The 15,446-nt window shown below is 35.4% G+C and overlaps 1 long non-coding RNA gene across 3 annotated transcripts in view; it reads left to right on the top strand.

Annotated features, from left to right (window-relative positions):
* Positions 1-15,446, top strand: part of LOC105373760 (uncharacterized) — a 101,257-nt gene that overhangs the window by 48,475 nt on the left and 37,336 nt on the right. Inside the window, exon 1 of one of the 3 annotated variants that reach the window (XR_923622.2) lies at positions 13,247-13,285. The exons of the other annotated variants lie outside the window; for them this stretch is intronic. This is a non-coding gene — a long non-coding RNA (uncharacterized LOC105373760). Of the gene's footprint in view, positions 1-13,246; positions 13,286-15,446 lie in introns of those variants that run through there. 3 annotated transcript variants of the gene reach the window in all.

Here is a 15,446-nt window from a genome sequence, read left to right as displayed (position 1 = left end):
AGGAAACTGAAATAATTATTCTTGTAATTCAGAAAAAAATTTTGTCCGGAAAATTCAGACAAATGTTATAAAACATATTTTATAGGCAAATGTTATACAACTTTTTTTTACTATAAAACATAGCAGGCATACAGAAGAATGTATAAAGATATATGCATTCAGTTTAAGAAAAAGAAAAGGGATTACTTTAGATCTAGTATCCAGGTTGAGAAATAACACTTTACAGGTACCATATTCCAGAAGCAATTTGTCCCTCTCCTTCCCTGAAACTATCCACGATTCTGAACTTTGCTAATCCCTTCCTAACTTTTCTTTATGCTCATTACTACCTATTTATGCCCCTAAAAATTGCATTGTTTAGTTTGGATTGTTTCTGAACTTGACATAAATAAAAGCATACTGTACATATTCTTCTGCGACTTGTTTCTTTTAATTTAACATTTTATTTTTGAGATCCATCCATGCTGATGATTGTAGCTGTAGCTCACTAATTTTTATGCCTCGATGATATTTTATTATGAAAATATACCACAGCTTATTGATCCAGTCTGTTGAATGCATTTAGGTTTTTTCCAGTTTTCTGCATTGTAAACAATACTGTTATACACTGTCTTCTACATGTCTCCTGGTACACATATACAAGATTTCTCTAGGATATATACTTAGGAGCGGGAACATTGAATCATAGAGTACCTGAATACGCACATTTAATTTTACTCGGTAATGTCATGCTGTTTTCCAAAAGTGCTGTACAAATTTACATTCTCACTAGCAGGGTATGAGCATTCTCATTGCTCCTCAACCTCATAAACAGTTAATTTCATCACACTTCTTACGTCTGGCAATTTTCGAATGGTCTTTTGTGGTTATAATTTCCCTGATTTGCCATGAGTTTGAACATCTTTTCTTGTGTTTACGGACTACTTATGCCTCATTTTTCTGCTTGGTTGTTTGTCATTCCTACTGATTTGCAAACATTTAAAATATTTTTTGCATTTTAATACTTTGTTAGCATGTAGCAATCATCTCTCAGTTTGAACTTGTCCCTTCACCATTTATAATGCTTTTTGATAAACAGAAGACATTGATTTTAATGTAGTCAATAATTTCCTTTATAACAAATCTTTTATGTCTGGTTTAAGAGCTACCTTAGTTTGAAATCATAAAGGTGTTCTACTATATCGTCTTCCAAAAGTTTTACATTCTTGCCTTTCACATTAGGTCTTTAATTTATCTGGAACTGATTTTTGTTTTTTGCATGAGGTAGGAGTCAATTTAATTTTTTTTATATTGAAACAAATTGTTCCAGCACTATTTTTTTAATGCATTTTTTTCCAACTGACCTTCAACAGCACCTCTGTCATATGTTAAATGGCAATTATGTGTGGGGTTGTTTCTGGACTTTTTATGCTGCTCCATTGGTCTGAGGTTCTGTGCTCCCATCCCTTCTTGAAAAATACCTATTACATTGTATATCTCTTCATTAATTAAAGTCTTCTTTAATATCTTTCAATAATGTTTTGTACTTTTCTCCCTGAAGTCTTGTGTATCTTTGGTAGATTTATTCCTAAGCACATCATATTTTTGATGCTATAATAAATGTCTTTTAAATTTTTTCTGCTTATTATGGATGCCTAGAAATACAATCAATTTTGAATAATGATTTTATTTTAGCATATTTATTTAACTTTTAATTTTAATAATTTATCTTTATGGAAAATCATATCAATTTTGAATAATGACAGATTTGTTATTTCATTCTGAATCCTTAGACCTTTTATTTTTTTCCTTGCTTTCTTGTATGTACTGTATTGAGTATCCAGCATAACCTTGCGTCAAAGTAGATAGAGATAGTACAGAAACTTACTTATGATATTTAAATGGAATGCTTTCAAAATTTCAAAATTGAATATGATGTTTGCTGCAAATTTTTGGGTAGATGTCTAGTATCAGAGTAAGGAAGTTCACTTTAATTCACAGTTTACTATAAATTTTTACTATAAAGGATTGTTGGAGTTTTATCAAATGCTTTTTATGCATTTGTTGAGATAGTCATATGATTTTCTTTCAATAGTTAATGTAGTCAGTTATATTTTTTTCTTCTTTAATTCACTTTGATTTCCGAATAAACCCATTTGGCCATAGTGCGTGCGTGTGTGTGTGTGTGTCTGTGTGTAATTTTAATACTTTGAGGGATTCAGTTCGTTAGTGTTTTATCTGGGATTTTTGCATTTATATTCATGAGTAAGATTGGTCTGCAAATTCCTCCTTTTGAATGTCAGTGTTGAATTTTGGTATCGAGGTTATACTAGCTTTAGAAAATGCGTTGAGTAGTATCTTTTTTTTTTTTTTTGCCATAATCTGATACAGTTTGCGTAAAATTGAAATTGTTTCTTGAATGGTTGTTATCAATAAACTCTCCTGGACCTCATCCTTCGTTTAGGGAAAGATTTTAAACTAATGACTAAATTTCTTTAGGAGTTATAGGACCATTCAGTTTTTGCTTTCTTCTTGAGTCAGTTTAAATAAATTCTATTTTATAGGAATCATTTCAGCTACATTTTCAAGTTTATTGGAATAATGCTCATACATCTCCTAATTATCTTATGTCTCTAGCATTAGAATTTATGCCCCCTTTTAATGTCATACATTTATGTAATATTATCATTTCATAACCATACTATTTTAATTTTCATTTTGGGGTCATCTCTCTTGTTTCTTATTATAAGAAGTTTGTAAATTTTACTAGCTTTTTCAGAGAACCAACTTTTGACTATTAAATATTTTATTTCCTATCCATTAATTTTTATTTCTATTATTTCCTTCCTTCTCTTTTCTTTGGGTTTATTCTGCTCTTCCTATACTAACTTCTTAAGATGTATATAGTTTTCATTACTTATTAGATTTTCTTTTTTTATACTTTGAACATTTAAAGCTATACATTTTCCTCTAAGTTTCCTTTAGCTTCTTTCTTTCACTTATAATGTAAGTTTTGATGTGTAATATTTTATTTGTTATCAGGTCTGAATGTTTCCTGATGTTCATTATGATATCTTCTTTGATCCTTAAGTAATTTAGAAGGACATTTTAAAATTTCCAAACATATAGGGATTTTTCTAATTATGTATTTTTTTGGGTTGCAAATCCATTGTGGTCAGAGAGCTTGATCTGTATGATACTATTTATCTTTTCAGAAACCCAGTCTGTGTGTGATACTATATACATATTTATATATAATATATTATATCTTATAAGATATATAATATATCTTATATAATTATATAATTAATATATATCTTATAAGATATATATTATAAGCTATAATATATAGATATATATTTATACATATATTTTAATTTTTGGAAGCTGCTTTATAGTTTAACATTTGATTAAAATATTCCATGAATGCTTGGGAAAAATGTTTATTTTGAGTCATTGAAGGCCTGGTGTGGTAGCTAACTCCTGTGATCATAGCACTTTGGGAGGCTGAGGCAGGCAGATCACTTGAGGTCTGGAGTTCAAGACCACCTTGCCCAACATGGTGAAACCCTATCTCTACAAAAGTACAAAAAAAATAGCCAGGCATGATGGCATGTGCTTGTAATCGCAGCTACTTGGCAGGCTGAGGCAGGAGAATCGCTTGAACCGTGCCACTGCACTCCAGCCTGGGTGACAGAGTGAGACTCTACCAAAAAAATAAATAAATAAATAAAAAAGAAAAAAAGAAGAAAAAAACAGTGTTGAGTCATTGAGGACAGTTTCATATATACCCATTAGTTTACATTTATTTATTGTGTTGTTTGAATCTTCTATAAAACTACTAGTATTTATGCCTTGTTTCAGTAGTCAGTTTCTGAAAGTGTGTTGAAATCTCTCAATATGTCAGTTTCTCCATGTGGTTCTGTCAATTTTACTTTATATATTTTGGGGCTGTAATTAGGAATAATTACATATATGAATATGTAATTAATATCTCCCAGATGATTAAAATTTTAATAATTAGGTCATGGTTGTCTTTGTGTTCAATAATATTTATTTGTCTATAAATACATTTGTCTACTGGAACTGGCAGGTTTCTTTTGTTTAGTATTTGCTTCGTACATTCTTCTCTACATTTTTACTTTAATATCTTCAATCTTCCTGTATTCTTAAGCTTTACACTTGTCTCTTATAAACAGAATAAAGCAAGATTAAAAAAAAATGGCTTGACTTTGTCTTCCAACTGAAGCAGTTAGTCTATTTATATTTATTATAATTGTAGACATATTTAGATTTGTTTTTACTGCCTTCTATGTTTTATATTTTTTCCACATTTTCTATACCACTTATTTTCTTCTTCCTTGTCCTTTTCTGAATTGATTATATTTTTTCATATTCTATTTTTTTCTCTACTAGTTTGGAAGTTATACCTTTTGTTTCTGTGTTTCAGTGGTATAAAAAATTTTAGCTTGCATGCTTAATTCATTAGTTGCTTTATGGTCTCCCCAATAATATAAGACTTAGAACACTTTAAATTCAATTATGCCTTGTGTGCTATTGTTGTTATGTATTTTCATTCTATCGTGTTTTTTAACCCCGCATAATATTGTGTTTTATGTAGTTAACTTTTTAAATATTTACTGCTTTTTTTTCTCTTTATTCCTTTGCAAACATCTTTAGTGAGGGTGTGCTAATGGAAGATGTTTTCCGTCTTTATTTGTCATAAAAATGTCTTCTTAATTTGTTCTCTTAAAAAGTATAATTTACTGTATATAGATTACCAAGTTAATAATTATTTTCTCAGCATATGTTATTCTACTCCATTCTTGATTACATTGTTATTGGTGAAGTCAGCTGTCAGTCTCACTGTCTTTAAGGTAATCTATCTTTTTTTCTCCGGCTGCTTTTAGTATATCTTTGTCTTTAGATTCTGTGATTTTACTATGATGTACTTAGGTGTGAATTTCTTTTTATTTTTCCTATTTGGGATTTGTAGAAATCTTGAATCTATGGGTTATTTTTTCTCATCAGTTGTGGAAAGTTCTTAGTCATAATCTCCTCAACTATTGCTGCCACCTCCTTCTCACTCCTTTCTTATGTTTTGGAACTCTGTTTAGACATAAGTTAGCCTGTCTTACTCTAATATCATAATCTTTTAAGTGCATTTAAAGCCTACATTTTCCAGCCTTCCTTACATCTTTGTGTGGCCATGTGCATGAACATTTTCAGGCCAAGGCTTTTAGGAAGTAATGTGTCCCCTTTATGCTCTTTCCCCTAATGTTAGCTGAATACAGACAATATGGAGGCCTCAGGCTCAGAGGATGGCAGAGTCTTCAGATGGATGGAGGGAGCTGCAGTCACTGAACCACTGCAGGGAGAGAAGTACTCACAGACCAGGAACGCTCAACTTGGACTGTTATGTGACAGAGTAATAATAAACTTCTATTTTGGTTTGAGTAATGTTGTGTTTTGGGTTTATCTGTTTCTGCAATCTAGCTTACTACCTTAATGAATATAAGCTTTCTTTCCATTAAAAAATTTATTAATGTATAAATCACATACCATACAGTTCACTCACTTAAAGTGTACTATTTAATGGCTTTTGATCTATTTCATTGTTAATTTTTAGAAATTATGTTAAAGTATATATAACACACAATTTTTTATTTTAACTATTTTTAGATGTACAATTCAGTGGCATTAATTACAGTCACAATGTTGGACAACCATCACCACAATTTCCAAAATTTTTCTTAGATGAAAATTCTGAAACCATTATGCAATAACTTCCCATTACCCACTCCTTCCAGCTCCTGGAAATCTTTAATTTACTTTCTGTCTCTATAAATTCAACTATTTTAGATATTTCATGTAAGTGGAATCATGCAATATTTGTCCTTTTGGGCTTGGCTTATTTTACTTAGTATAATGGTTTTAAGATTCATGTTGTAGCATATATCAAAAATTCATTCCTTTTTATTATTGTCTCTCTCTCTGTCCATATATATATATACACATATATATGGGTTATTTCCAACTTTTGGCTATTATGAATAATGCTGCAGTGAACATTGCCCTACAAATATGTGTTTCAGTCCCTGCTTTCAGTTCCCTTGTGTATATAACTAGGAGTGGAATTGCTGGTTCATATGATAATTCTATGTTTAGCTTTTTGAGGAAAAATGTTCTGTTAAATTTTTTTTTTTTTTTTTGAGACGGAATTTTGCTCTTGTTGCCCAGGCTGGAGTGCAATGGTGTGATCTTGGTTCACAGCAACCTCCGCCTCCCGGGTTCAAGCCATTCTCCTGCCTCAGCCTCTGGAGCAGCTGGGATTACAGGCATGCACCACCATGCCTGACTAATTTTGTATTTTTGGTAGAGACGGGGTTTCTCCATGTTGGTCAGGCTGGTCTTGAACTCCCGACCTGAGGTGATTCGCCCGCCTTGGCCTCCTAAAGTGCTGGAATTACAGGCGTGAGCCACCGTGCCCAGCCTCTGTCAAATATTTCTATAGCTGCTGCATCATTTTACATTTCTACCAGCAATGTGTGAGGGTTCCAATTTCACCACATCCTTGTTAACATTGTTATTTTCGGTTTTTAAAACTGTAGCCATTCTAGTAGATGTGTAGCCATTCTAGTAGATGTGAAGTGGCATATCACTGTCCTTTTGATTGAATTTCCCTGATGACTAATGATGTTGCGCATCTGCTTATTTTGTTTTCAAATTGTCATTTTATTTTTTATGTTGTTGGTTGTTGGAAATATAGTTAGTGATTTTTCATATGTTTATTGGCCATTTGTATATGTTTGAAGAAATGTCTATTCAAGTCCTTTGCGCCATCCCCCCTTTTTTTGTTTCTGAGATGGGCTCACACTCTGTCACTCAGGCTGGAGGACAGTGGCACCATCACGGCTCACTGTAGCCTCAGCCTCCTGATTTGCATGTTTTTAAATTTTTTTGTCTTTTTTTTTTTTCTATTGAATTGTAGGAATTATTTGTATATTCTGGATATTAGGCCTTTATCAAATTATGATTTCTAAATATTTCACCCATTCTGTAGGTTGCTTGTTCCCTTTCTTGCTAATGTCCTTTGATACAAAAAAGTGTTTTTAAATTTTGATAAAGTTCAATTTATCTGTGCTCCTTTCAATGTTTAAGTTCTTTTGTCTCCTTGATCTTCATTCTTGATAATTTCTTTTTATCTTCTAGTGACTAATTCTCTCTATTATGCTATGTTTTATCTGTTGTTAAATCTGTCAACTGAGTGCTCAATTTCAATTGCTACTTTTTAAAGTTTCTGATATTAAACATGTTAAACATACTTTTTAATACTCTGTATCTGATAATTCAAGTATCTAACATTTTTTGGGTCCTATTTTGCTATCTTTTTTTTTCCTGCTGGTTCTCACTTATAACATTGACTCCTGTGTATTACTAATTTTGACATTTGAGTTGTTTAGTTTTCCTTGAAATTTTATCCATGAAGATATTTTGTGTCCTGAAATGAAAGGGGACAATCCTTGTAGGAAAATCCTTTTCTTACAAGGATTTACATTTGCTTTTGTTAGGTACCTGGGATATACTAGCTTAAGACCCCTTTGCATAATATTGACTTCATGTTAGAAAAATTTTTTTTAGATTGCTTCAAAAGTGTGAATTTCTGTGCAAACTTGTGTGAGGGTCAGCTTTTGGTTACAAATTCTTAGGGTATAATTTTCCCCCACTCTACACACTGCCAAGTTTTGAGACTGTTAGTTTTCCATGCAATTTCCAGCAGGGGTGAAAGTGGATAGTTTATTTTAGTGCCCTCTTTCATTGAGTGTATGCCTTTGGGCCCCTGTTTTATGAGGATTCTAATATAGGATACTCCAACTTGGGTGGTCCCTGAGTTGTGTCTTCTGTCTCCAGAGCATAAAACTCTATGCTCAAGTTCACTGAGTTCGGCAAATGCCCTGAGAATATAGCTGATTCAGTGTTGCTTTCTTAGGTACTGCTTTCTCTTTTGCTTTCATATGGATGCCTTCTTGAAGATGTTTTTATATTTTATCCAGCATTTTTAGTCATTAGTTGGGAAGATTGGTCCTAATACTTGGTCAGCTATATTGCCAGAAACTCGACTACTTTTTTTGAACTAGAATTACCCTGATAAATCTTCACATTCAATAAAGACTTGCTTATCAATGGTAGGTTTGTGGAGGGTGTTGGTAATAGACAAAGTTTATATAATCATAGGTTCTCTGCATTGCTCAAACCTCCAGGTATAGCTGTCAAAGGAAGGAAAAGTAAAAGCAATTCAGGAAAAAATGATCAGTAATCCTATGGTCTTTAAAAGGCAAGTGTGGAAGCTGGGTATGGTGGCTCATGCCTGTAATCCCAGCACTTTGGGAGGCCAAGGCAAGAGGATCACTTGAGCCCAGGAGTTTAAGACCAGCCTGGGCAATACAGGGAGACCCCATCTCTACAAAAAATTTACACATTAGCCAGGTGTGGAGGCACATGCCTGTGGTCCCAGCTACTGGAGAGGCTGAGGTGGGAGGATTGCTTGAGCCTGGGAGGTTGAGGTTTCAGTGAGTTGTGATCATGCCACTGTATTGTAGCCTGGGTGACAGAGTGAGACCCTGCCTCAAAAGGAAAAAAAGGCAAGTGTGGAGAAAAAGAAAACTATATATTAATCCTTTGGTTAATAAATATTAAATCATTATGCTAGTACTTTACCTATGTTATCTTATTACAATATCCCAGTAAAGCAGACATAATTACAGATTATTTTTACAGATGACATAAGAGCTAATATTAATGTTTACTGCATGTTAGGTAATTGCCAAGTAAATTACATGTTTTTATTTCAATTAGTACCATTTTATAGATAAAGAGACAGAGGTTTAGGGAGATACTTGCTCAATGTCTCTCAGCCACTGACCACATATCCAGAGAGTGCTTTTAAATTTAGGGTAAGATAATGGTATTTAGTATACCATTAAAAAACCTTGCTTGCTTTGCTGCCTCACATCCTCAGCAGAATAGCTTTAATTTCGTTACAGGTATTACTCATTTAATCCTAACAACAACCCTAAGGAAGTTTCTATTATTATTACCACCCCCTTCCAATAATGAGAAAACTGGAGTTTAGAGAGTTTAAGTAACTTGCCCATGGTCGCCCAACTGATAAGTGGGGAAGCCGGGAGTGGAGCCTGGGTGATCTGTTTCCATGGTGCATGCTCTCGACTGCAGTGTTATGCCACCTCTCAAAACGTGAACCAAGACTTTGAGAATGGAAGGAGTGGAGATTCTGCTTTGCAATGGAATTAGGATTTCTTGCTAACAAGCAGCCCAGACATATTCACCAGAATCAGGGAGTGCTGAAACAAGTGAGGGGATAAAGCAAGGATTGGTATCATGTTTCAGGACTCTTGATCTTAAACTGTAGTATGCATCTTAGTCCATTTTATGCTGCTGTAACAAAATACCTGAGTAATTTATAAAGGACAGAGATTTATTTCTTACAGTTCTGGAGGCTGGGAAGTCCAAGGTTGAGGAGCTGACATCTTGCAAGGGTCTTCTTGCTGTGTCATCCCCTGGTGCAAGGTGGAAGGGGAATAGATTTCTAGAGGGCAAGAGGGGGCAAAAATTGCTTTTATATCCAACTCACTCTCATAATAACTAACCGACTGCCAGAATAACAACATTAATCCATTTATGAGGGCAGAGCCCTCATAATGACCGAAATCACTTCTTATTGGGACCCACTTCCCAACATTGTTGCATTGGGGATTAAGTTTCCAACACGTGAACTTTGGGGGACACATTCAAACAATAGCAGAATGGAAAGGCTACCTGCCATTGCTAAGATTGATAACCAGTTAGAAAACCACTGTGCATGTTGGGGAATAAGTGTATAGAAATAAAGAGCTCAGCAGAGAAAAACAGCCTGAGACCCACTATCAATTACTTCTTGTACTTGCATTTAGCCAGGTAAAAATTATCAGGTGAAACAGAACTCTTGTGTATGTTATTAATTTCTAAGTTTCTTTTTCTTTCCTTTTGAGTAAGAGCCCAAAGGGTTACCAATGAATTAAAATATTTTGCAAATCACTTATGACACCATTAAATATAAGTGTTTCTGTTTGCCTGGTTTCAGGTATTCATTTACTATGTGAGAGTAGGATTTCATACTTTAAATTATTTTGGTAAAATTATATAACTAGTGAAGAAATATAATGACTTGCTGTAATCAAAAAATTATCTCTCTCAAAATAATAAACCCCAAATCTTGATTAAAGAGACCTTCTCTAGAGGAAACTAGTATGCGTTGAATATGTGTACATACATCTAATAGATGCATGGGCCAGCACCTAAAGTAAAATATTTGTGAAAGGTACTGAGGAGCCTCCAAAGATACTGAAGAGAGGAAGAGCCAGGCACCACTGACCAGTAATAGAGGTCTGGTTACCGTGAGGAGCAAGTTGCCTGTAAAAATTAAACCACAAACAAAATCTAAGATTTTGTAGAACAAAGTCACAGAAACATCATGAGTTTGGTACCTTTGAGTGGGTTGTCATGTCCATGTTAGTCAACATTAGGCAGAGCTCAGGCAATGTCTCTATCCCACCACACATCTTTAGCACCTCTGGTGGCAGAAGACCAGCAGTGTCTCCTGGCAGAGAGTGCATGTGGGTAATGGGATAGTAGTATCTGGTGACATGGATGCTGGAGAGAGTCATAGGAGATGCCCTGCCAGAGTGGGAGTATTCACGAGCACACCTGAATTCACCTGACTTTAGAGAGCAACTGACTTCAGAGAGCACCTCAACTTCCAGAAGCACTTGAGAAATTCTTTTATAAGGTGCTGAGGTTCTGCTAGGTGGCGACAAGAGCCAATAGAATTTGGGTTCTTATTATTAGTGTGATTCCGTTTGTATTCACAGGTTGGGGAGGACTGGGGAAACTCAGCTTACAGCCATATTTGTACCAGAAGATTTTCGGTACAACTAGAGAGCACCCAGTGTATATCATCATGCTGCTGAACATGCAGGTGTATTAGAATTTGGTATACTAAAAGAACTTTTGGAACATGTATTAATTGGCACATTACTGTTTTGAAGTTTAGCAGTGTTATATATATATTCTTAGGTTTTGTGTTTGAAAATAGAATTCATGAAATATGAGTAAATTAAAAGCATTATGTTAATAACTTTTAATACTTACATATTACTCCTTTTCATCTCATTGAGTAGAGAAGGCTTTGAGGAAGAATGTCTAATGGCTAAGAGTCAGAAAACGAATTAGTGGTTTCTAAATTTCTACTGGTGATATAAATCATTTCCAGCACTTATTTATTTAATAGTGCATGTGAGAGAGTAGTTGGTTAATAAATATTTACTAAATAATTTTTTTCTAAGGTCAATGGGCCACAGGAAGTTTGATCTACCAGTTTCAGGTCAGCTAGTGATGCAGAGGTCCATAAACAAATTAGGAGGACTATTCCTTCTAGTGTGAAATTTTAAAATACATCAACATGTCCCAAACTGAAAGAAGCAAACATACAATGTGAAATTTGTTAGTCTCTTGTTATGTTCTTATTATGCATCTTTTGCTAATACAGAAACCAATGCTCCATAGATTGTGGTATAAACTTTTCTTAGTTGTTACTTTTAATTAGTGGAAGTATAAATATATCTGATTTATATTTAATTTTATTTACTACACTGTTGTTGAGCTTTACATAATTATCCAGGGAAATTCTTGTTAGAGTTGACAGCAAGCTCTGGGTGATCCCTAAGTGTCCATTTATTCTGGGGGAAGTTGGGGCTGGAAGGAAGGCCTCTGTCATTTCTGCATAAAGACTGTGGGCAGCAAGGATTAGATTATTCCTGGTGACAGCAGGGACTATAAATTGTCATTTCATTACCACTTGGTTTAATGATGGAAAGAATAGAAATAGAAATTTTATGACAAAAGGGAATTTACCTGTTGACTATATTGACTGAAAATGGAGAATAGACTGATAGTGTAGGAGACTCCATCTTACTTAGTAAATATTGTTAAAGTAATTTTATCGTCCTGTTAGCATTTATGAAGTAGCTGCAGTGCTAAGATCTATAGAATGATGATTTGAAAACTTGTGTAAGAAAAGAACGAATCTGCACTCAGTGTCCTTCAAAAATGTCACAGTAATACTGTGTAATTTTCCTTTTTTATTTGTGTTTGCCTGTTTTGGACTAGTAATCAAAATTGTAGGTCAGGCAAGATGGCTCATGTCTATAATCCTGGCACTTTGGGAAGTGAGAGGATCACTTGAGCCCAGGAGTTGGAGACCAGCCTGGACAACATAGTGAGATCCTATCTCTACAAAAATTAAAAAATTAGCCAGGCATAGTGGTGCCTGCCTGTAGTCCCAGCTACTTGGGAGGCTGAGGTGGGAGGATCTCTTGAACCTGGGAGGTCGAGGCTGTAGTGAGCTGTGATTGCACCACTGCACACCAGCCTGGGCAACAGAGTGAGATTTACAAAAAAAAAACAAAACAAAACGCCGGGCGCTGCGACTCATTCCTGTAATCCCAGCACTTTGGGAGGCCGAGGTGGGCAGATCATGAGGTTAGGAGATTGAGACCATCCTGGCTAACACAGTGAAACCCCGTCTCTACTAAAAATACAAAAACAAAATTAGCTGGGCGTGGTGGTGGCCGCCTGTAGTCTCAGCTACTCCGGAGGCTGAGGCGGGAGAATGGCGTGAACCCGGGAGGCGGAGCTTGCAGTGAGCCGAGATCCTGCCACTGCACTCCAGCCTGGGAGACAGAGCAAGACCCCGTCTCAAAAAATAAAAATAAAAATAAAAAAGATATCTTGAAATGCTCCTCTATTGTACTACCATACTAGTAGTGTCAATTGAAAGCCATCTTAGATGTTTTTTGGGAAGCTTTGGTAGAGAGAATGTACTGCACTTTTTTCACTTTTTTACTTTATCCCATAAAGCAGGGGTCCCTAACACCCTGACTATGGACCGATACTGGTCCCTGGCCTGTTAGGAACCAAGCCACACAGGAGGAGGTGAGCAGCAGGTGAGCAAGCAAAGCTTCATCTGTATTTACAGCCACGTCCCATCGCTTGCATTGTGGCCTGAGCTCTGCCTCCTGTCAGATCAGCGGCGTCACTAGATTCTGACAGGAGCTCAAATCCTACTGTGACCTGCACACAATAGGTTGTGCGCTCCTTATGAGAATCTAATGCCTGATGATCTGTCACTGTCTCTCACCATCTAGTTGCAGGAAAATAAGCTCAGGGCTCCCACTGATTTCACATTATGGTGAGTTGTATAATTATTTCATTATATATTATAATGTAATAATAATAGAAATAAAGTGCACAATAATTGTGATGTGCTTAAATCAACCCCAAACCATATCCCAGCCCGGTCTGTGGAAAAATTCTCTTCCACGAAACCAGTCTGTGACGCCAAAAAGATTGGGGACCACTACCATAAAGTAAACTTTCTCTGGGAAAGTCCAAGAAAGTTACCTAATACTTAGGTTTCTTTAATGTGTATATTCCGCTTTAGTAGAAAAGTCTATGAAGTCCATGTACACTGTAAACTATGTTTTATCATCTTTATATCCTGAATCAGAAGGCACTGCTGTATCCTTTCTTTTCTTTTCTTGTTTCTCTGCTTTTGCATGTCACAGTCTTAATCACTTGCTCCTTTATTAAACAAACAAATGAACCCAATTAACCAAACAGTTCCCTAATTATCAAAATGATGTAAACTTATTAATGTAACAATGAAACAATCATCCATAGTGTCATTTCCCAGGAATAACCACTGCTACTACTTTAATTTTTTTCTTTCCAAATGGAATGAATGTGTAATTTTTGGTTTTGTTTTTAAACATCAGCATTGTAGGGGGTCTATGATCTGACGTTTGCTCCCGACTGGTTCAGTGTCATTACATCCGAAGTGGGTCTTACTTTTCTTGGGGCTTTTTAATCCTAAAACCTACTTAGAGAAGTGGAGTGCAATTATTATTAATTCATCTCCTTTCTTATGCTTAGGAAGATAAACCTGCACCAATAATAAAAGTCAAAATGTTCCTTAGCCAAGTCATGTTGATACATGAAAGTTTTCTCTAATTTATTTACTCAAAGCAGAGCTTTATAGACTAAAACATGTTCATTATGACTAATAGTCTTTTCCTAAGGCAAGATAATCACAACAGTGTCCTTAGGAAATCCTCTATATAATTGGGGTCAAACTCATATTCAGTTTTGTGTCAGTGTTTTCACTAAACTTTGCATTACCAGCATTTTCCATGTCAATAAATATTTTTCAAAAACATTATTTTTAATTGCTTCAAATACCATTATTTACTTAATGACCTTCCAGTTTTTGGATATTTGGGTTGTTTGCATGTTTTAAACACTTTTTTTTGCTTTTATAACACTGTGGCAAAAACACTTGAATATAAACCTTTCACCTTAAGATGATTTCCTTGAGAATATATGCCTTAAGGATCCAGTAACCTCTTAATTGGCCTCTATTACTTCAGAGTTTATCTCCTGCCCGTTGCTGCCAGATGAATCTTCCTAAAACATTAATTATGTTGTATCATTTCTTGCTCAACAGCCCACAATGACTTCTCATTGCCTAGGGAAAGAAACTTCCAAATTCTTTAGCTTGGGGATTGAGGTACTTGACAGTCTTGTTTCTTTCAATTTCTATAATCGATTTTACCCAAAGTAACTGGGCTCTTTGGATGGCTTTGCTCTCACCTAGAACCCACCTAGAGGACTTTCACTGTTATCTTCAACCTTGCCTCCCTTATTTTCTGTTCCAAATCAAACACATAATACAGCTTCATCTCCAATGCTGATGTATGGGTTACACTGCCTATCAGAAAATAAAATATTTTAATTCATTCTTAAACATCTCAGTTATTTCCCCAAAGTTTCTCTCCTTTTAGTTGATGCCACATCTATTTCTTTTTCTTTTCTTTTTTTTTTTTTTTTTGAGACAGAGTTTCAATCTTGTTGCCCAGCCTGGATGGAGTGCAATGGCCTGATCTCAGCTCACCATAACCTCCACCTCCCAGGTTCAAGTGATTCTCCTGCCTCAGGCTCCCAAGTAGCTGGGATTACAGGCATGCGCCACCATGCCCGGATAATTTTTGTATTTTTAGTAGAGACAGGGTTTCTCCATGTTGGTCAGGCTGGTCTTGAACTCCTGACCTCAGGTGATCCACCCACCTCAGCCTCCCAAAGTGCTGGGATTACAGGCCTGAGCCACTGCGCCTGGCCAGCCATGTCTATTTCTAATCAATCTCCCCCGATACACCCCACCTGCCCCAGCTTTTCTTTTCTTGATATGCCAGGGCTGTTTCTCTCTCTCTCTGTGTGTGTGTGTGTGTGTGTGTAAATGCATTATAAAACACCTGAAAGTATATGAAATTCATGAAGAAGATTAAGGAAAACCT

This window comes from Homo sapiens, chromosome 2 (assembly GCF_000001405.40).
Source record: "Homo sapiens chromosome 2, GRCh38.p14 Primary Assembly".
Taxonomy (NCBI): Eukaryota; Metazoa; Chordata; class Mammalia; order Primates; family Hominidae; genus Homo; species Homo sapiens.
The sequence above is the reverse complement of the archived record's forward strand: the minus strand, read 5'-3'. Positions and strand labels throughout refer to the sequence as shown.